General features: G+C 36.3%; 1 protein-coding gene and 1 long non-coding RNA gene across 42 annotated transcripts in view; one reads left to right on the forward strand and one right to left on the reverse strand.

The window, feature by feature from the left end:
- Window positions 1-22,315, forward strand: part of CCDC18 (coiled-coil domain containing 18) — a 98,818-nt gene that overhangs the window by 36,199 nt on the left and 40,304 nt on the right. For 30 of the 41 annotated variants that reach the window (XM_017001164.3, XM_017001162.3, XM_011541361.4 and 27 more), the window contains 7 exons: window positions 525-635; window positions 1,627-1,758; window positions 5,498-5,632; window positions 5,748-5,825; window positions 10,222-10,338; window positions 16,315-16,482; window positions 20,137-20,279. In XM_017001164.3, coding sequence (XP_016856653.1) covers window positions 525-635; window positions 1,627-1,758; window positions 5,498-5,632; window positions 5,748-5,825; window positions 10,222-10,338; window positions 16,315-16,482; window positions 20,137-20,279 — 884 coding nt within the window. Of the gene's footprint in view, window positions 1-524; window positions 636-1,626; window positions 1,759-2,391; window positions 2,542-5,497; window positions 5,633-5,747; window positions 5,826-10,221; window positions 10,339-16,314; window positions 16,483-20,136; window positions 20,280-21,150; window positions 21,270-22,315 lie in introns of those variants that run through there. The other 11 variants (XM_047419514.1, XM_017001159.3, XM_047419476.1 and 8 more) reach the window with 4 other exon arrangements.
- LOC107985521 (uncharacterized) lies at window positions 4,356-9,580 on the reverse strand. The gene is made up of 2 exons (XR_001737683.2): window positions 9,541-9,580; window positions 4,356-8,260 (listed from the first exon to the last, which is right to left on the reverse strand). It is a non-coding gene; the product is annotated as an uncharacterized LOC107985521 (long non-coding RNA).

A 22,315-nucleotide genomic window follows, 5' to 3' on the forward strand; every position in this document is an offset into this window, starting at 1 on the left:
TTAGACAGTTTATAACTATGGCTACCAGTTTACTTAGGAAATTGCCAAATACTGGGATTAATAAGTTTTTTAAATTACAAAAATAGCACAGTCTTGTTAATATAAAAGGGGAAAAAGAAGAAAATGAACCATTGATAATTCTACCACCAGAAATAACTGCTGATAACATTTTATTGTACTTATTTCAGTCTTTAACAGCTACGTAAAAATAGATTAGGGTATTGTCCTTTTTGGATATAGGGGTCTGAATTAAATGACTTATGTTTTACATAGATAGAAGAAGTGATCCTTTGTTTTCAGTATTTGTTTTTCTTCTTAATTGTCACTTATTTTGTAAAATACTTATAATTATGTGGGTTAAAAAGTTATTCACTTTGCATCCTAAATGTTTATAACTGTAAGTTTGCCCAATTTACCTAGACACAATGTATTTGAACTTTGAAAGAGGAGCAGGTGTTTGATCTTAGAATGCAAAATCATTACCTTTAAAAAATAATTTTACATTTATTTCAATGTGTTTTCAGATGACAAAGAAATGTTCTCAACTTTTAACTCTTGAGAAACAGCTGGAAGAAAAGATAGTTGCTTATTCCTCTATTGCTGCAAAAAATGCAGAACTAGAACAGGAGCTTATGGTAAAACTTATCTTTGTTCCTACAAATTTACTGTGATTTTTAGGCACTTAATTTGTGACAGCACATTTGTTTTAGCATCATTATTATAAAATATATAGGAAAGTATAAATTCTACTAAACTCTTCTGATCATTTCTTGTTTATATTTTTAAGTTAATAGGCTTATATGGCAAGTTATCCAAGTTTTCTCTTTTTTTTTTTTTTTTTGAGACAGAGTCTCACTCCGTCGCCCAGGCTGGAGTGCAGTGGTGTGATCTCGGCTCACTGCAAGCTCTGCCTCCTGGGTTCACGCCATTCTCCTGCCTCAGCCTCCCGAGTAGCTGGGACTACAGGCGCCCGCCACCACGCCTGGCTAATTTTTTTTGTATTTTCAGTAGAGACAGGTTTCACCGTGTTAGCCAGGATGGTCTCATCTCCTGACCTCGTGATCCACCCGCCTCAGCCTTCCAAAGTGTTGGGATTACAGGCGTGAGCCACCGCACCCGGCCGTTTTCTCATTTTTATCCTAATAGGATTGAAGATAATGGTAGTTCTTTGATATGCTTCTTGATATTTAAAATAGTTTAAATCTTCTCGTCTTGATAAAGTATTTTTAGCCATTTTGTTAAAGTTTGAAGTATAAACTACTGTGGTTCTTTAAAGAATGGAGTATGACATATTTAATGGTTGACTAATGTACTTTTATGTAAAACTGCTTTTCAATTATACTTTTTTTTTGAGACAAAGTCTCACTCTGTGGTTCAGGCTGCAGTGCAGTGGCACAATCATGGCTCACTACAGCCGTGTCCTCCCAGGCTTCCCCCTGAGCGTCCCCAGAAGCTATGACCACAGGCGCATGCCACCACATCTACTTAGCTAATTTTTTGTATTTTTCATAGAGACGGGGTCTTGCCGTGTTTCCCAGGCTAGTCTTGAACTCCTGGATTCAAGCGATCTGCCTGCCTTGGCCTCCCAAATCAATTATACTCCTTTAAAGTGTTTTGTGTTTCTAGGAAAAGAATGAAAAGATAAGGAGTCTAGAAACCAATATTAATACAGAGCATGAGAAAATTTGTTTAGCCTTTGAAAAAGCAAAGAAAATTCACTTGGAACAGCATAAAGAAATGGAAAAGCAGATTGAAAGAGTAAGTAATACATATTTAGAATATGAGTGCTGAAAAGAAACTTAAACATTACTAGCCCCAGCATTTTTTATTTTGTAGACGAGGACACAAAGATACACAAAAGTTAGTGGCAAGAGCTGTAATTAGAATCCCAATCTTTCTGAATAATTTTTCAGTGCTTTAACAGAATATAGTATGCCTTCTGTTTCAGCTGTAATCATTATTTTTGACATTATTAAAGTAAGAGTAATTCTGTAGACTCCATTTCCCTAAAAATATCAGTTGCTTGAAGATTGATTGAGAGGAAAAAGCAGAATAAGAGAAGCACTCTTGACCTTGGGTTAAAAGTAGAAAAGAAAATTTGAGACCAAAAATGCAAGACACAGTAAAAAAAAATAGATACAGTAGTCCCTGCTTATCCATGGGAGAGACATTCCAAGACCTTCAGTGAATGCCTGAAACCACAGATAGTACTGAACCTTATATATTTTTTCCTATACATACATACCTATTATAAAGCTTAATTTATAAATTAGACACAGTAAGAGATTAGCAAGAATTCTAATAAAATCGACCAATTGTAACAAAATACTGTCATAAAAGTTATGTGAAAACTTGTTCTCATAAAAGTGTGTTCTCTCTCTTATGCCCTAGTGCCTCCTTTGCACTTTTTTTTTTTGAGATAGAGTCTCGCTCTGTCGGCCAGGCTGGAGTGCAATGGTGTGATCTCAGCTCACTGCAGTCTCCGCCTTCTGGGTTCAAGTGATTCTCCTGCCTCAGCCTCCTGAGTAGCTGGGATTACAGGTGCGCGCCACCAAGCCTGGCTAATTTTTGTATTTTTAGTAGAGATGGGGTTTCACCATGTTGGTCAGGCTGATGTCAAACTCCTGACCTCGTGATCTGCCTGGCTCAGCCTCCCAATGTGCCTGGCTCACGCAGAGGTGTGAGCCACTGCGCCCAGCCTCCTTTGCACTTTTATGAATGTAGGTTCTGTGAGTCATCTTTGAGAACAGCCTAGTTTCGCTGCAATTGAAGTCTTGCTTTGGATGGTATCTTTTCTCCTTAGCTTCTTCATCTCTGCTGGAAATGTGACAGCAGCTGCTTCATCAGCAGACACAGCTTCTCCAATAATTTTAATATTTTTCAGTCTAACCCTATTATTGAATCTGTGTAATCATCCCTTATTTGCAGTAAATGACTTGGTGTCACTTGTTTCAGGGGATCTTTGCTGAAGTCTTAATATATACTCAATATTTTCTGGTGCAACACATTGCAGTCAGTTGGAACATGTTTTCTGTTAATGCCTTCCACCTACAAATTTAATGCCTTTTCTATTTTAACTAAGCACTTACGCATTGTGGTTGTAACTTTTGTAGTTTGAGGTACAACTGCCATACTTGCATGAATTTATTTTTCTTCACAATTTCATGGATAGATTTATTCTTTATTGTAGATCTTAGCAACCTCAGCATGCAGTTTTTTTTCTTTCCTCATTAAGTCAAGAACCTTCACCTTTTCACTTAAAGGAAGCATGCTATGTCTTCTCTTTGACATATCCAAATTGGATCTGCATCCAGATAGCATCACTACTCTTTTGCTTTGGGGCCATTATTAAGTAAAATAAGAGTTCCTTGAACACAAGCACTGTGATACCATGGCAGTTGATCTGATAACCAAGATGGCTACTAAGTGACTAACGAGCAGGTAGCTTATACAGCATGGAAAATGGATCATTCTTGTCCAGAGCTGGACATAGTGGGACGTCATGAGATTTCATCACGCTGCTCAGAACTGCAATTCAAAACGTATGAATTGTTTATTCGTGGAATTTTCCATTTAGTATTTTCAGACCAGGGTTGACTGCAGGTAACTGAACTGTGGAAAGTGAAACCACGAATACCACAGGGCTGCTGTAATTTAGATGAGCTTAACAGAAGAATGGAGCAGACAAGAGGAAAAAGACAGTGAACTTGAATGTAGATTAATAGATATTATTCAGTCTGAGCAACAGAGAAAAAATTTTTTTTCCAAGAAAAGAAAGATTTATAAAAATATTGAACAAAGCCTCAGAGATATATGGGGAAGGACCTGGAAGATCTGATATTCTTGTCTTCAGAGTCAAAGGAGAGAATGAGATTAGTGCAGGAAAATATTTGAAGGAATAATGTCTGAAAACTTCACAAATTTGATGAAGGAAATAAATTTACAAATTTAAAAAAATCAAAGAGAACTACTTCTAGACACATCAAAATCCTTGCCAAAAACTAAAACAAAAAACTTTGAAAGCACCCAGAGATAAATGACACTGCATATAAGGGAACAAATGTTAAAATTACTGCAGATTTCTCATCAAAAACTATGGACATAAGAAGATGGAACAACATTTTTTAAATGCTGAAAGAGAAAAAAACTGTCATTCTATTTTATATCCAACAAAAATACTCTCTAGGAATGAAGGTAAAATAAAGACATTCTTAGATGAAGGACCGCATAGAGAATTTGTCACCAGCAGACTTGTTCTAAAAGAGAATGCTAAAGAAAGTTCCTCATGGAAAAAAAATACCTGAGAGAAACTTGGGACCTCAGGAATAAAGGAAGAACAACAAAAACAGTAAATATTTGGTAAATATAGGATTTTTATAATATCTATGGCAGTTGAAAGAAGAAATTATAACATTTACTGATGAGGTATATTGATATAATACATGTGACAACGACAGTGTAAAGGGGGAGGGGTAAAGGGGTCTATATTCTTAGTTTCTACATTTTGCCTTTTTTTCTTCAGCCGTTAAGTTCAGGGGTACACGTACAGGAGGTGCAGATTTGTCACATAGGTAAATGTGTGCCATGGTGGTTTGCTGCACAGATCATCCCATCACTTAGGTATTGAGCCCAGCATCCATTAGCTATTCTTCCTGATGCTCCCTCTCTCCCATCCCACTCCCCTATAGGCCTCAGTATGTGTTGTTCCTCCCCATGTCTTCGTGTGTTCTCATCATTCAGCTCCCACTTATAAGTGAGTACGTGCAGTATTTGGTTTTCTGTTCCTGTGTTAGTTTGCTGAGGATAATGGCTTCCAACTCCATCCGTGTCCCTGTAAAGGAAACGATCTCGTTCCTTTTTATGGCTGCATAGTATTCCATAGTATGTATGTACCACATTTTCTTTATCCAGTCTATCACTGATGGGCATTTAGGTTGATTCCATGTCTTTTCTATTGTGAATAGTGCTGCAATGAACATACACATGCATGTATTTTTATAATAGAATGACTTACATTCCTTTGGGTATATACCCAGTAATGGGATTGCTGGGTCAAATTGTGTTTCTGCCTCTAGGTCTTTGAGGAAATGCCACACTGCCTTCCACAATGGTTGAACTAATTTACACTCCCATCAGCAATGTAAAAGTGTTCCTTTTCTCTGCAACCTCTCCAGCATCTGTTTTTTGACTTTTTAATAATTGCCATTCTGACTGGCATGAGATGGTATCTCATTGTGGTTTCGATTTGCATTTCTTGAGCGATCAGCAATGTTGAGCTTTTTTTTTGTATGTTTGTTGTCCACATATATGTCTTCTTTTGAGAAGTGTCTGTTCATGCAAGTGATTTCATTTCTTCCTTAAAAAGAGAGAAGCTGAAGACAATTTGGCAAAATACAAAAATCTATGTAATTTCAATTATAGTGTCACATGTATTTAATATTTAAAATGTTTCAAAATTTTAAAATATTTAATATGAAAATTCTGTTTTCATGTTTAGCTTGAAGCTCAACTAGAGAAAAAGGACCAACAATTTAAAGAACAAGAAAAGACTATGTCCATGTTGCAACAAGATATAATATGCAAACAACATCATCTTGAATCACTAGATAGACTCTTGACGGAAAGCAAAGGGGTAAAATCATCCTTATAAAAGTGCTATTTAGAAGTTGACTAATATTTTATGTCTCTATAACTTGCCTTTAAATCTAATCAAATCTGCATACTTATACTTTTCTTACTGTTTTTAGGAAATGAAAAAGGAAAATATGAAGAAAGATGAAGCTTTAAAAGCATTACAGAACCAAGTATCTGAAGAAACAATCAAGGCTAGTATGCTAATACTTTATTTTTCTTTCTTTCCTTTTTTTTTTTTTTAACAGACAGAATCTCTCTCATTTGCCTAGGCTGGAGTGCAGTGGCATGATGATAACTCACTGCAACCTTGAACTCCTGAGCTCAAGTAATCCTCCCACATGAGCCTCCTGAGCAGCTAGGACAAGCGTGCTTCAACATGCCTGGCTAATTATTTTTTTCTATTTGGAGACATTCTTGTGGCTTTTTTACTTTTCTCTGTAAATTGTAAACATTGTACAGATAAAAGGCAATTCAGAGCTGACGATTTGATCTGACTCAATGAACTTAGTTCCTTTAAATGTATTTTCTTTAGAGCGAATTATGATCTTAATTATTTGATAGTTAATCATCTAGTTTGCAGGTTATCTAGCCTCTTTTTGTCTTAAAACAGTTTTTATAACCCTAAAAATTGTTTTAAATTTTAGCTATAATTGCTACTTATTAACATTACCAAAAAAAAAGAAAATTACCAGAGGAAGTGGAGGAAGAGAAAACTAAAAGTGATTCAATTTTGCTTGTTTTTATCAGTTGGCTTGTAAGATTAATTGAGATAAAGCCAGAATTTCTAGCTAAAATACGGCTTTCTGGCTAGTATATCTTCATGGTTAAAAACATGGGCTTTGTTGTTAAATTGGGTTTCAGTGTGGCTTCAAGTGCTTACCCACTCACTGTAACCTTAGCCAGGTTATTTAACTCTTTGAACTTTAATTTCTTCATCCACAAAATAGGAATGACAATACCCTAGAAGAGCATTAGTGTGAGAATTAAATGAAACAGGGTATATAAAGTGCTTAGCACATACTGAGTTGCCCGAAGTTTTGTAACTAACTGCTATATATTTAGTATTTTCTCTTGCATTTTTAGTGTTAAACGTAGGTCCAAATATGCTATGACGTTTATTCTGTCATATGTAGCTTGAATATAAAAGATTTGCTTTAAAGATACGATGTTATTTTTTCCCTATTCTGTTTTTAATTCATTTTGTGACTGTGTATGCCCATGTAGACATGTGTTTATTCATAAATATTCCTGTAGTATTCACCAAAACTCTTAACATTTAATGCAATGTCAGTTCATTTCCCTGTGTAAGAATAGCCCCAAATTTCATTAATATTAAAAAATGATTACTGTACAGAGATTGTAGGCATGAAATACTTTTATTAGATAAAACTCATGCAGCCACTTAACTCCTGGTTTTCATTAAACTACCTAACGTAACTGGGCAGTCATCTGGTGAGGTATTTCCGTGTGTTAATAGCCAGATATGAGATGGAAAAGAAATCAGCAAAAGAATGAAGTATGATGTTGGATTTTATTCCTTTAACATCTTTAGCAGGTTTGCTGTTTGGGGAAAAATCAAAATGAGTAAGAAATATAGAAGCCAAATTCCTATGATTTAAGCTATATTGACTGATTCTACACATAAGTTATTTATAGCAGCAAAATAGAAGCCTGAAGTCTACTTCTCTCCTGATTATGTCATTACTACCTTCCTTTCATGACTTTTGTTCATGTCTCTCAACATGCCTCAACTTGTTCTCTGCAAAAGAAATATGAATTTTTTTATCTATAGGAAAGTTATAAGGGTCAGTTTAAAGTTGTATCACTAAGCTAAAAGGTTGATGATAAAATTCTGAACTGGTAACAAGAAATCAGTAAATTAAACCAGTTGTTACCTGCTGTTAAATGGAAAATTGAAAAGGTGCTTATTAGACTTACAGATTTTATTTCTTTTGTTTTGTTTTCCTCTTATTTTCTACTTTAGATTCCCCAAAACCCCCACAAAAAAGTCTTAAACATAAAAGAAGAGTTTACCTTCTTTTTTTGAAGATGCATAGCCTAGGGCCCTATCTGGTTGTCTCCAGATTGTGCACCTGAGGAGCTTCTTTGGTTCAGCAGAGTGGTGTTTGTTTTTGTTTTGATTTCATTTATTTATACACACACACACACACACACACACACACACACACACACACATTTGCAAGTGGTTTGTATACAATGCAAGATGTTTATCTGTATGAGATTCAGACTTTCAAACTCTGTTCAAATAAGAAATTCAATAGAGTAGCGGATGTTTTGGGTTTTTAATTAGTTTTTTATTAGCTATAATTGATTTATTTCTAATTTATTTTTTAAAATTTCAAGCCCACAAAAAATTGAAAAAATAGTCTACTCCTCACCTAGATTCACTCTCTGTTAAACTCTATTAAACTCTAGGTACACTCACTTTATCTCTCTCTACACATACACATGCATGCATGCTTGTGTGTGTCCCTACCAACCCACCTCCCTTTTGCCAAACCGCCTGAGAGAAGGTACGGATGTCATAATACTTTACCCCTTTAATACTTAACATGCATCTCCTGTGAACAGAGAATTTCTTCTGTATGGCCACACCACCACTACACTACAGAGAAAGTCAACATTAAGTTAGTAATATCATTCAACATTGTCCGTACTAAAATTTCCCCAATTACTTAAAATTGTCCTTTATAGCCTTGCTACTCAAAGCATGGTCTGTGAACTAGCAGCATCAGCATCACCTGGAAGCTTTGAAGAGTATCTAGCCATGCCCCAGACCTGATTCACCCCAGTGAATCAAGTGTGATGACACAAAATTTAAGGAGACACTCTCAGGATTATATACCTTATTTAATTTGATGACTGCCAGATCTCATTATTTTAAGGGCATACATTTTCATTGATAATTAGCAAACTAACTTTGGGGTGAGTCTTTGAGGCCATGTGAATATCCTGTTCCTCAATAACCTTATAATCAATGGCTTTCATATCTAATGATGAATCTTGCCCAAATGAGTTATTACACTGTTAACTATTAGGTAGTGATATTCTGACAGAATCATAGGTTTTATTTATTTTCTCTGTGTGAAGGATGATACAAGTCCCAATGCCCATTCTCTTTCATAAAAAAGAAAATTTCTAAGTATTTATAATTTTCATAAAACAAATGTTAATTAGTCATTCAGAATTACAGATTTTTTAGCTGTTAATGATTTCATATACAGACTATAAGGGTGGTGTTCAAAAACTGTGTATCTTATAAGATTCCCTTTTTAGAAATAAGAGTGGCAAAGATAATTTCATGATGTAGAATAGAATCTGCAAGAGAGAATGTTTTTCTCGTTTTTTCATCTGCTAAGAAATCTAAGATTTCTTTCACTTTTTCAAGACTGCTTACTAGAACATTATTAGCATTAAGAGGAAGAACACCATTGAGAAGCTCAAATTTACAATAAAGAAAACAAGGAGCAAGACAAGAATCTTAATAGATGAGATGTGGAGCATGTATGCAATATGTGCGCCTTGAACGAAAAGTACCAAATTTGAGTTGCTCTTTGGTATTAAGGTAGTAAAGCAGTGGCAACTATATGAACACTTGGACCAAGTTAAATTGCTGCCTTTCTGAAAATATTTTCACTGTTTCAAAGCAAAGAAGGTTTCACTTCTTTTTTTCTAGCTGACAAATTATTTTCTTAGTAACTTCAGCATTTCAAAATATTCTCACTTAAGGCCAGGCAAGGTGGCTCACACCTGTAATCCCAGCACTTTGGGAGGCCAAGGCGGGTGGATCACCTGAGGTCAGGAGTTTAAGACCAGTCTGGCCAACATGGCAAAACCCACTCTCTACTAAAAATACAAAAATCAGCAAGACATGGTGGTGCATACCTGTAATCCCAGCTACTCAGGAGGCGGAGGCAGGAGAATTGCTTGAACCTGGGAGGTAGAGGTTGCAGTGACCCGAGATCGCACCACTGCACTACAGCCTGGGCTACACAGCAAGACTTTGTCTCAAAAAAAAAAAAAAAATCTCACTTAAGCATCATTAACAGTATGCTAGTTTGTACTCACTTTCCTATTTTTCTTATTCAAGGAGGCTTAAGAAGTAGGTTTAAATACCACTTACCTTTTAAAGAAAAGTTTTTAGAGTGTTTGGCCTACAGGTTCTTGACAGTTGGCCCTAGTTTATCTTGTCAATTGTGGCTCCCAAATAACCATTTCCTACAAATTCATCTTCTTACTACCCTAGGCTTTTGCCAACTTCTCACCACTCCCTTTCGCAGGGCCTTGCTTCTGAGCATACTCCCTTTTCCTGGAATGCCCTTCTAAACTTGTCCAACTCTTGTTTATTCTTCAGGATTCCATACCTTGGTTTTCTCTTTGGTTTCCTCATTTGCAATGAAGAATTAGTTTACTCAATAAATATCTTCTATAATGGCATTTTATATCCTAAGTAGGACTGTATATTCACTATTTGAAGCAGTCAGGTAACATTAGGAGATAAATCTGTAAAATATTGAGTATATCGTTTTGTGTTTTTTTTTTTTTTTTGCTTTTTTTCCTGCTTAGGTTAGGCAACTAGATTCAGCATTGGAAATTTGTAAGGAAGAACTTGTCTTGCATTTGAATCAATTGGAAGGAAATAAGGAAAAGTTTGAAAAACAGTTAAAGAAGAAATCTGAAGAGGTAAATTAACATTTACTTTATATATAGCATATATTTCAAGTGATTTTTTTTAAGAAGCATGAGATGTAGGACAAAATATATATATATATATATATTTCTTTTGAGACAGCGTCTCCCCATGTTGCCCAGGCTGGAGTACAGTGTCGCAATCTTGGCTCACTTGAACCTCTGCCTCCTGGGTTCAAGCAATTCTTGTGCCTCAGCCTCCTGTGTAGCTAGGATTACAGGTATGCACTACCATGCCTGGCTAATTTTTGTATTTTTAGTAAAGATGGGATTTCACCATGTTGGCCAGGCTGGCCTTGAACTCCTGGCCTCAAGTGATCCACCCACCTCGGCCTCCCAAAGTGCTGGGATTACAGGTGTGAGCCACTGTGCCTGGCCAAAATAATATCTTTTATGTATCTGATATAAAAAAGTATTTCCAATAAAATGTAAATTCCAATTTTATTTTCTTTAAAGAGCAAACATTTCAATGCAAAATAGAATATACCTTAAAATTCTAATTCTTTTATTTTTAGGGAATCAGAAGAATAAATTATTAATATTACAGTCATTCTAATATAATATTACATGACACCTTGAACATTGTTTTAGATTTAGAGGTTTAAAATTCTTCAAGAATTTTTCATTTTGTTTTTGTTCTTGTTGTCTGTAGGATTGAGAATTAACTTTAGAATTTCAACTTTTTTAAGATAAGTTTCTCAGATACTGCATTGGAAACCTTTTTTTTTTTTTTTTTTTTTTGAGATGGAGTCTTGCTCTGTCGCCCAGGCTCGGCTCACTGCAACCTCCACCTCCTGGGTTCAAGCAATTTTCTTGCCTCAGCCCCCTGAGTAGCTGGGACTATAGGCGCATGCTGCCACGCCCGGCTAATTTTTTGTATTTTTTTTTTTTTAGTAGAGACGGGGTTTCACCATGTTGCCCAGGCTGGTCACAAACTCCTGAACTCAGGCAATCCTGCCACCTTGGCCTCCCAAAGTGTTGGGATTACAGGCATGAGCCACTGCACCCAGACTTGGAAACTTTTCTTGAACATCTTACTCATCTCTGTATGCTCAATTTGTAGCACTTTACTTTGGTTAGGCACTCACTAAACATTTGCTCAAATGGATAATCGTAATGAAGAATGTATTTGTTAGAATTTATAATGTATATATTTTAAGGTTAAAATTTATTTTTAGAAATCGTTCCCAATGAATCTTCATCAAGGTTGACTTTTGGCCACTCATTGTTGCTCACGCCTATAAGCCCAGCACTTGGGGAGGCCAAAGTGGGTGGATCACTTGAGGCCGGGAGTTCAAGACCAGCCTGGGCAACATGGGGCAAAACCCCATCTCTACAAAAAAATTAAAAACATTAGCCAGGTATGGTGGTGCATACCCGTGGTCCCAGCTACTCAGGAAGCTGAGATGGGAGGATCACTTGAGCCTAGGAGGTCGAGGCTGCAGTGAGCTGTGATCACGCCACTGCACTCCAGCCTGGGCAGCACAGCGAGACCCTATCTCAAAAAAAAAAAAAAATATATATATATATATATTTATTTATATTTACATATTAGTCAAGATCGATTTGACTATATCAGAAAGGTCCAATGAGAAAAACAGAAGCCTTTATATCTTTTAAATAGAGCAAATTTATACAGAGAATTAGATACACAGGTGATGAAAGGGTAGAGAAGCCAAACAGTATACCACAGTGACTCAGAGATTATTATAAGCAGGGACCCGCTACCATTGTTAAGGTTAGAGGAACATCAGGAAAAGATGGTGTGATCATAGTCTAGAAGCAGGGCTGCCTATCTGGAGCTGGGGCCAAAGAAAAAAGGTCTGTCCAATAGGAACTGGGGCAATAGAGGAGGAGCACTGCAGCTACTGGCCATTCCCATTGGCCAAACCTATTTGTAATCTAGAGGGCAAAGGAGGCCAAGAAATGCAGTTTCCTGCAATACACAGAGCAGAACAGGGGAAAGCCATAGGTAAATCTAAGAGTAAATAATGTAGTTGACCAGCACTCCAGACTTAGGTGCATCAAGTAATTATATAGCCTTAGAAGTTTAAAAAAAAAAAAAAAAACTTCAGATTTAATACGGTCATGTCTTCTTCTGTCTACCTTCCCTTATGAAGGTTTTTATAGCATCTTTGACAGGCATATATTTTTCTACTCCAATACATAGAAACTAAATCATCTAAACTGTATGTACTTGGATTTTTAAAAATAGGAATGTCCTTTTTTTTTTTTACTATGATCATCTTTAAAGTAGTATACAAAATACATTATTTTGGCATTTATTCTACTGCCCATACCCACACTCCGCTTCATAATAAATAGACTTGGCAGAGATGGAATCTACCTGGAGGTAGGCAGCATTTGTAACAGGAGAATCTGTTGAGCTTTAGACTTTGCATTCATAGAAACAACATCAGAGACTAGGGTGGATAACAGATATTTACACACAAAATAAATAGAACGATTTTTTTTTTCTTTTTTTGAGACAGGGTCTTGCTTTGTCACCCAGGCTGGAGTGCAGTGGTGCAATCTCGGCTCACTACAACCTCTGCCTCCCAGGTTCAAGCAATTCTCCTGCCTCAGCCTTCCCAGCAGCTGGGATTACAGGCATGTGCCACCACACCTGGCTCATTTAGAATGATTTTTACAACTGGAAATACATACCTAGGCTCAAACTGAATTAGAAACCAGAAGTGGTAATCAGGTATATTTGACCAGACTAGGGAGTAAGTAAATTAGAAAGATTTGCAAGCTCATTTATTGCCGCTCAATCCTTAGCTCAACTGCACATGCATTGGCTTGCTTACTTAAAAGGTCATCTGTCACATGTTCATGTGTATTGATAAAAAACGTGGAGAAGAATCCAAGTACTAACTGTTGACTTATTTGCCTTTACAGCAAATTATGTCTTACAGAGAAAATTCTTTCTAATGTTGGTTAATATAATTAACACCTTGTAACAGCAGAGTTGTGAAGTTTTCATCATATATAGCTACATTTTAGAAAATCTGATTTGAGTAATAGTGCATCCATTCCGTTAATAATAGGTGATATTATAAAGATGTTCTTATCTTTTAAATCAGGGAATATGCCCCAATCATATAACTCACTGAATAATTAAGTGGCCCTAGGGCATATAGGTAGAAATTTAGCCAGTTGTAAAAACTACATGTTGATTACCCGTTGCAAAAAGCTAATATATGTTCCTCTGAGCTTTTGCCTCAGCCACATATTCTTTTCCGGATGTTGAAATAAATATATTTATGATGAAAATAATACTTTGGGGTTCTGAATTTTTGGAAGATATTTAATTTCATATTAAAATGTTTTTAACAATGCTTTTAAAATAATAAAGTTATGTGTTCATGCAAAATTACATTGTCAACATGATAAAAGAAACTCAATACAAAGTAGATGCGACTAAGCCTAAATGTTTTCTGCATAAAGATTTTATTCAATAAAATCAGTCGTTTCATTGATAAATATCTTCATTTAAATGGATGGACTTAGATTTTGAGAAGCTGGCATCATATTTCTGCATTATATTTTATTTTTAAGCAACAATTATGAGACTTTCTGCTTTGGGTACATAGTGATACTAGATAAAGTTAAGTGTAAGGTAGATTTTATCATCTAAATTCTACTTTCTTATTTACTTCAATTATAAAATATTAAGTACTCTGGGAATATAATAATACATTAGTAGAAAATATGATGTAAAAACAATTTGTTCTGTATTTACTTTTAAACTAAAGCCAACTGGCCAGGCACGGTGGCTCATGCCTGTAATCCCAACACTTTGGGAGGCTGAGGCAGGCAGATCACAAGGTCAGGAGATCTAACACGGTGAAACCCCATCTCTATTAAAATTAAAAAAAAAAAAATTAGCCGGGCGTGGTGGTGGGCGCCTGTAGTCCCAGCTACTTGGGAGGCTGAGGCAGGAGAATGGCGTGAACCTGGGAGGCGGAGCTTGCAGTGAGCCGAGATCGCATCACTGCACTCCAGCCTGGGTGGCAAAGGAAGACTCCATCTCAAAAAAAAAAACAAAAAACTAAAGCCGACTGGAGTTAAAGGTCAGTACAATGAAATGTCAGTGTAAGTTTGATAGATATATGTTCTATTTTGTAAATATTTGTGATAACTAATTTTAGCTATTTCAATATATGTAATTGAAATGTCAGTGACTAGATTACTGAAATAAAATTTTGTTGTTATTATGTGGTAAGGCTTTGTGTTTTGGTTAGATCTTATTTTTTTCTTCTGTTTTGTCTTATTTTAATATTTTGTCCATTTTTTTCTCTGAATAGGTAAGTATGAAACAGGATGTTCCAATAAAGAAAAAAAGAGTATTTAAACCTGTCTTGCAGGCAAGTCAGTTCTATCTAAAATAAACCAGTGCAGAAGTGTGATCTGCAGGTTTGGTCAGGAGCTAAGAGAGAAAACAAAACAGGTGATACTGACACATATTTACACTAAATTATTTTCATGCAGACAGAATTAAACAAAACATATTTGCATGAAAAGGGATTATAATTCAGGATTAGAGATCAGTTAGTTGCCTGTGATATCCAGGGTTACTTCGAGTATACAACATCATCATATAATTAAGAAATCTGAAATCTCAGAGCTTCTCATAATGAGCAAAGAATATTTGGCCCTGAAGGCCTTAATGTTCACCTGCTGGATAGTTAGAAAAAAGAAGCAAGTCGTGATTCTCTTCCGCTATTTACTATAAGGAGTTTAAATTTCCTTTTGGAATGATATTTACTGGAAAGATTCTTTGCTTTAAAGGAATGGCTTTATTTTCCTTCACTTAAAAAATTTATTATATAAGCAACAACAAGAAAACTTCTAAAGAACATTTACCTACAGCCCATTCTCTAATACTTCAGTTTTCATTTTTCTGTTTGCATGTATATTTTTCAAAATTATATTAATGAAATGTGATTTTTTAACTTTATAAATTTTTATGTTAGCTGTCTTTTTAATTATTTTAAATGGTTGCACATTTTAAATCACATTGACAATCATCACTTATTAAATCTTCCATTCACTTTGGTAGGAGATGAAGAATATTATAAAATATATTTTAAATTATGTTTCATTGTTGATAGTATTTTAAAAATAATTTCTGCTGGCATATTTTTAGAATTTGGATTACTAGGACAAAGGGAATTTATTTTTCTTCTTAATAGGTGCTCTTGGATAAAAGTATCTTAAAGCAATTTTGGAGACCATCATATTCAAGTCCTAAATATATAGAGTAATTAGTGAAATTTCTTAGTTGTTATTGTCATTCCTTTATGTGTTTTTTTGTAGCATAAATATTCAGCAGTGCTTTGCTGGGATATTATTATATAAACAACAGCAATAATAGCAACAATAACAATAAATAGCACCAAACATCATATAGTGCTTTTATGGCTCTAGTTTATTATTAGAAAGGGTGAAAGAATCAGGTGAAGTGCAGATAAAACCATGGCTGCCTATGCTGTTCCCTCCTTCTGGGAGAGGTCAGACAGAACATGCTCCTTTTTATAGCAGTAAAATGTGGCAATATCTGTTTCTGCCTAGGGAAGCCTATTTATGACTCAAAGTTCAGGGTTTTTATTGGGGGCTTGTCACACAGGAACAATGACCAGCCTACAAGTATCAAAAATTCCAGAATTCTAAAGGAAGGCATGTTTCAGTGCCCCAGCCAGGCAAAACAACCTCATCACTTAGGAACATTTTTAAAGCCACATTTCCAGACACCAACCAAGAGCAATCCTATAAGCAAGCCCTTCCAGTACATCTCCCCATTAGAAAAATGAATACTGTCCTTCCAATGACAAACTATAGACATGAATGCAATTGTCCCACATGACAAGTGGATGGTTATCTAATAAGGAGGACAGCTTTGACATTTTATTGCCATTTATTTGAAACATTGCATTGTATTGAGAGATATATATATATATTTGCCAGGTATATTGTTTACAGAAAGAGCTAAAGATAAAAAATCACAGTCTTCAAGAGACTTCTGAGCAAAACGTTATTCTACAGCATACTCTTCAGCAACAGCAGCAAATGTTACAACAAGAGACAATTAGAAATGGAGAGCTAGAAGATACTCAAACTAAACTTGAAAAACAGGTATATATTATTAGCCCAAGATTGTTTTATTTGTATGAAATAGAAATTTTTAAAATCATGAATAGATTTTTCGTTAGTTTTTTAAATTGCTGTTTGGCCAGATGCCGTGGCTCGTGCCCATAATTCCAGCACTTTGGGAGGCTGAGGCAGGCGGATCACCTGAGGTCAGGAGTTCGAGACGAGCCTGGCCAACATGGCCAAACCTCGTCTCTACTAAAAATACAAAACTTAGCCAGGCATTGTGGCACATGCCTGTAACCCCAGCTACTGAGGAGGCTGAGACACAAGAATTGCTTGAACCCAAGAGGTGGAGGTTGCAGTGAGCTGCAATCGTGCCCTTGCACTCCAGCCTGGGCGACAGAGTGAGACTCCGCCTAAAAAAAAAAAAATTGCTGTTAAACCTCAAGGATTTTGCATTATAAGAAATACTCTATACTGATATTGTAAAATAAAGTTCTATTCCTATGTAATCTGACCTCCATCTCTTATACCATGATTATATGTTTGCTGTTCCATACAATTTATAATTCATGTTTCTTTATTCAATCTCTCTTCTTGTACCTAATCTGAATACCTATAATTTTTCCTTTTTGGATCAGGACATGGTATGTGATATTCCTTAAAGAAATGGCAAAGCAGTGCACTAAAAGAAAAATCCCAAGGGAAAATACCCCTGAAAGTTCTAAAATTAAAAATTATTACTTACTTGAATGTAAGAATTCTAGAGAATTTTATACTAGAATCTAATCTTTTTCCTTTAATTCATTACTGAATTTATCTGAATTCTTTAGATATTTTACATTCTTATTTTGTTTTTTCTTTGAAAAGAAATCAAATTTACAGTAATGTGTAAATTAGAAAATGATCGTCCCCTGTAATCTTACTGTATTTTCCTTTTTTGTCATTTTTTCGGTCTTTTATCTACTTGTTCTGAAGTCCTCCTCAGCCTGTCCAGTGGAACTAAAGTATCTTCCTCTCACTACATTTAAACACATCAGGCAGGTATTCTGTATTTTTTTTTTGAGACGGAGTTTCACTCTTGTCACCCAGGCTGGAGTGCAATGGCGCGATCTCAGCTCACTGCAACCTCCGCCTCCCGGGTTCAAGCGATTCTCCCACCTCAGCGACCTGAGTAGCTGGGATTACAGGCATGTGCCACCACACCCAGCTAATTTTGTATTTTTAGTAGAGACAGGGTTTCTCCATGTTGGTCAGGCTCGTCTCAAACTCCCTTCTCTGGTGATCCACCCACTTGGGCCTCCCAAAGTGCTGGGATTACAGGCGTGAGCCACTGCTCCTGGCCTCTATTTTTTTTCAAGAGACATCTTCCTGTGACTCTCCATCCCTTTTGTTAAAATTTAGACCTACTGCTTGCTATGCCTACTATACAGCTTCATCCTGAAGCATTTCTTCTTCTCATCTATGTTTGATTCCCACTGCCTACATCCTTTGTCATTGACTCTGGTTCTTGCAGGATTGATTATGATTCTTGTTCCTAACTCACTTCTATAATGGTTGTATGGTTTTTTCTGTTTTGTTTTGTTTTTTTTTAACAAGTTCACTTTTTTTTCTTTTTTTTCTCTTTTTGAGACGTAGTCTCACTGTGTCGCCAGGCTGGAGTGCAGTGGTGCGATCTTGGCTCACTGCAACCTCTGTCTCCCAGGTTCAAGTGATTCTCCTGCCTCAGCCTCCCGAGTAGCTGGGACTACAGGTGCGCACCACCACATCCAGCTAATTTTTGTTTTTTTAGTAGAGGCGGGGTTTCACCATGTTGGCCAGGATGGTCTTGATCTCTTGATCTTGTGATTCGCCCACCTCAGCCTCCCAAAGTGCTGGGATTACAGGCGTGAGCCACTGCGCCTGGCCTCATTTGTATTTTTTATTTGGTGATTTTCTTTGTGATCTTGTTTTAAAAGATTTTGTGTTCTCATTAGCTTCACTGAGGTCTACAGAAGTTTATATCTAAAAATTTCTTCAGTATTTGGAGTAAATTTTTGACTTGGTATTCCTTTTCTGCCTTTCATTCATATTACACTGTGCATAGGTTCCATTTTGCATCTTCAGATTTCTCTATTTAATTAAGAATTGAGTAGGTGGATTTTCCTTGGTTCCTTTCCCTTTTTACCTGGGTACTGTTTTAATTTTCTTCTTGAAACTTGAGGTGGAGGGGTGGATATTAATGGGGTTTTCTTGTTTTGTTTTGTTTTGAGACCGGGTCTTACTTTGTCACCCAGGCTGGAGTGCAGTGACATGATCATGGCTCAGTGCAGCCTCAACTTCCCTGGGCTCAGGTGATTTTCCCACTTCTGCCTTCCAAGTGCATACCACCATGCCCAGCTAAGAGTGTGTGTGTGTGTGTGTGTGTGTGTGTGTGTGTGTGGCTTTTCTTTTTTTTTCTTTTTTTTTTTTTTGGTAGAGACAGAGTTTCACCATGTTGCCCAGGCTGGTCTCGAACTCTTGGGCTTAAGAAATCCACCCTCCTTGGCCTCCCAAAGTGCTGGGATTATAGGTGTGAACCACCGCACCTGGCAAGATATTAATGGTTTATGATCTATATTTAGTTCTTCAGTGAGGGATTTTAGAAGAACGGGGGATATGCAGGTCAGAGTTGAGAGGTTAACTTTGAGACCACAGTCATATAAATATTCATGAAGACATGGAGTGACTGAAATTACCTAGGGAGAGAATATAGAATGAGAAGCAAGAAGATTGACTTGGACAGATCCCTGAGGGATGTGATACATGGAAGCCAAAGTAAGTATTTCATTAAGGAAGGAATGAATGTTGCTGTCATGGGCTACTGGAATCAGTGTCAAGTAAAATGAAGGTTGGGAAATGTCCATTGGAATTAGCAACTTGGAAGTCACTGGTGTTGTAATCCCTGTTTCTGTGGAATGGCCTCTGGCTATGGGTTGAAGAATGAGAAGTGAGACAGTGATACAACATGCATAGAAAACTTTGAGAAGTTGGGCTATATATGGGAGGAAATAAAGGGTAGTAGGTAGAGGGAGGTCAAGGTCTGAAGAAAAGCTTTTTACAGTGGGAAAGTCTTTTAACATGTTTAAATGCTAATATTAAAAAAACAGTAGAGAGACTGAAGATATTGGAAAGAGGAGATAGTAGTATGAAGTTCCTGAAAAAATGAATAGGAATTGAATCCACAACACCTATGAAGCAGTTTGATTTATATAAAGGAGGAAGAATACCTCCTTTATTGTAGTAGAATAGAGGAAGAATGAATAGGAACAGATTCAAGTTAAGATGGGAGCAAATGCAAATTAGCATTTGAGGTCATGTGGAAATCTAGGAATCTATTGAGTGAGCCAATTCGTGAAGAAAAGAAAGGAGCAGTATGGTAAGAGAAGAAAGGGCATTTCAAATGGGGACAATGAAAAGGGGAATATTTACTATCATTTTGTTCAATTATTTTAACACTTTAGTGTTATGATGTGGCCACTTCCCTAAATAGTAATATGTATGTGAAGTATCTTTATTATTAGAAAGTAAGCCTTGCTTTTTATATTTTCCAAACATTACTTCTTGGTCTATATGTTGATTTTTATGATACATCTTGAAACTGATAAGCTAGGTTACATATTTATAAAAGTATTTTTCTTCTGAATTTAAAATGTTTACTGAAAACTGCTTTACAAGGTGTCAAAACTGGAACAAGAACTTCAAAAACAAAGGGAAAGTTCAGCTGAAAAGTTGAGAAAAATGGAGGAGAAATGTGAATCAGCTGCACATGAAGCAGATTTGAAAAGGCAAAAAGTGATTGAGCTTACTGGCACTGCCAGGTAAAATGTGAATATGTTTTATTTACCTTCCCACTTCAATATCAGTGGTATCTGAGTTTTGAAATCAGATAATGTTCAGTGGAGCATTTGCTTGAGGAATTAATGTCTCCATAGTCTGTGTTCCTATTGCATTTTGTTTGTATTTCCTTCATATCTCTCATTATGCTTTTTACTGTATTACAGTTTAATGCTTTTAACCTTCCTACTATAAGTTTCTTAAGGCAAGGATCATACCTGGTTTATTTTAGGGTCTTACACAACAACTGGCACAGTTCCTTATACCTCATAGGCACTCAGCAACTGTTAATTGTGAATAACATTAAAAGTTGTAGGCAAAAATGTAAATGTACTCACATAGAGGAAACTTTCAGGCAATCCAATTATATAGGGGAAGAATGACAATATAAAAGTGGTTCTCAGCCTTGAGTGAATATTAAAATCACCTCAAGAGCTTGTAAAAAAACATACTGATGACTGGGTCCCACTTTTAGATTAAATAAAACCTAAAGATTCTGATTTAATTTGGCTAGGCTGGTCCCAGGCATCGATACTTAATTGGTCAAGAAAGGAACCCATGAGCTGAAAGCAGTACCCAGCCTCTTCAGATCTCTTCTACTTTGTTGGGAAGAATTGACATAATTTATAACATAATCAGCCCACCCTTCTACCAACAGGAGTCAAGAGTGAACTTAGGCACTGGCACTAAAACCACATGTCCCCAGGTTCCCTCTCCTCCATTGACAGGGGTCCTTTGTGCTCAGAGGAGCAACTTGCTTCCTCAGATGTCTGTCACCCTCTCAGCAGGGTTGAGGGCTTCCCAAGTTTAAGACTAAGACCAAAGTATTTCACACCTTCTTTCTTCCATTGACAGATGTTCTACTCACTAACATGGCCTCACCACTGGTGTCCACCTTGAGTCTGTGAAGACTGACTGCATTATCACTTTATCCTTGTTTATGCCAGATACCACAAGAAACCCTAGATTTCCAGGTCAGCTCTCATATCTCACACTAATTCCCAAAAAACTCTCCACACATTCTGTTTCTTTCTCCAACCCCATCCCAACTTCTGAAAGACTTCTACTGTGCCTTTTGAACTTCATAATCCATTCTCTGTATTCACTACTTTTTCTTTTCTCTTGCTGTAATAGAAACCTGGCCCTCCCCTAAGGACATTGCTTCTTCCCCTGTAGCCTTCTAAAGTAAAAAACTTTTCCCCATAGCTCTTGTACCACAGGGTCCAGGCAAGGTGTGAAGTATATACTATACTTGGTGAACCTCATGCCATCAGAACCCTTACTGGTGCTGATTTCTTTAGACGGCCTGACTTACTGTTGCCCTCTCCAGCATCACTTCTGTCATTCTTCTTGGGGATTTCAGTACACCTCTGAAGCTGATCCTTCTGACACCTTGGCTTCTCATTTTTAACAATTTCTGTACTCTAGTGATCCTGATCTTTAACATACCTCAGCCACTTACTCCCATGGAATTTATCTTGTGCTGAAAATTTAAATCAAAACCAAATAACATTTTTTGGTAGAAATTTTCTAAAATGTATATTTTCTTGGGGTTTTTACTTTCTCTGGGTATCTCAGGGTTATCATTATATACATCATGCTAAAATGTAGTGATACCCTAATGAAACTTTGAGGCATATACAGTTCTGTTTTTTATAAAATGTCTGTAGGCTGCTAATGCTTTTTGAGTCCTTGTATATTTTCTATAATTTTCCCCTAACTCCTTTGCTGACAAGCCATCTGCTCATGGCTCTATGCCAATCTCTTTTGATTATTCTTTTCTAATTATCTGTTTTATATCTACTTTAATATTAGAGCTAATTGGTCAAGCTAAAAATTATTTACTTGGGATTTTAGAAATGTAAAAGTGTCATTAGCACTCATCTAATCTAGTACTTAATTGGTCTATGGACATATTTGAGGATCTGGTAAAAAGCTTTAGCTTGTCTTCTATACATAGATGTATACATGTACATTATACATGTATAATTTTGCATACTGTTTCAGGGGTTTTATAGTT

This window comes from Homo sapiens, chromosome 1 (genome assembly GCF_000001405.40).
Source record: "Homo sapiens chromosome 1, GRCh38.p14 Primary Assembly".
Taxonomy (NCBI): Eukaryota; Metazoa; Chordata; class Mammalia; order Primates; family Hominidae; genus Homo; species Homo sapiens.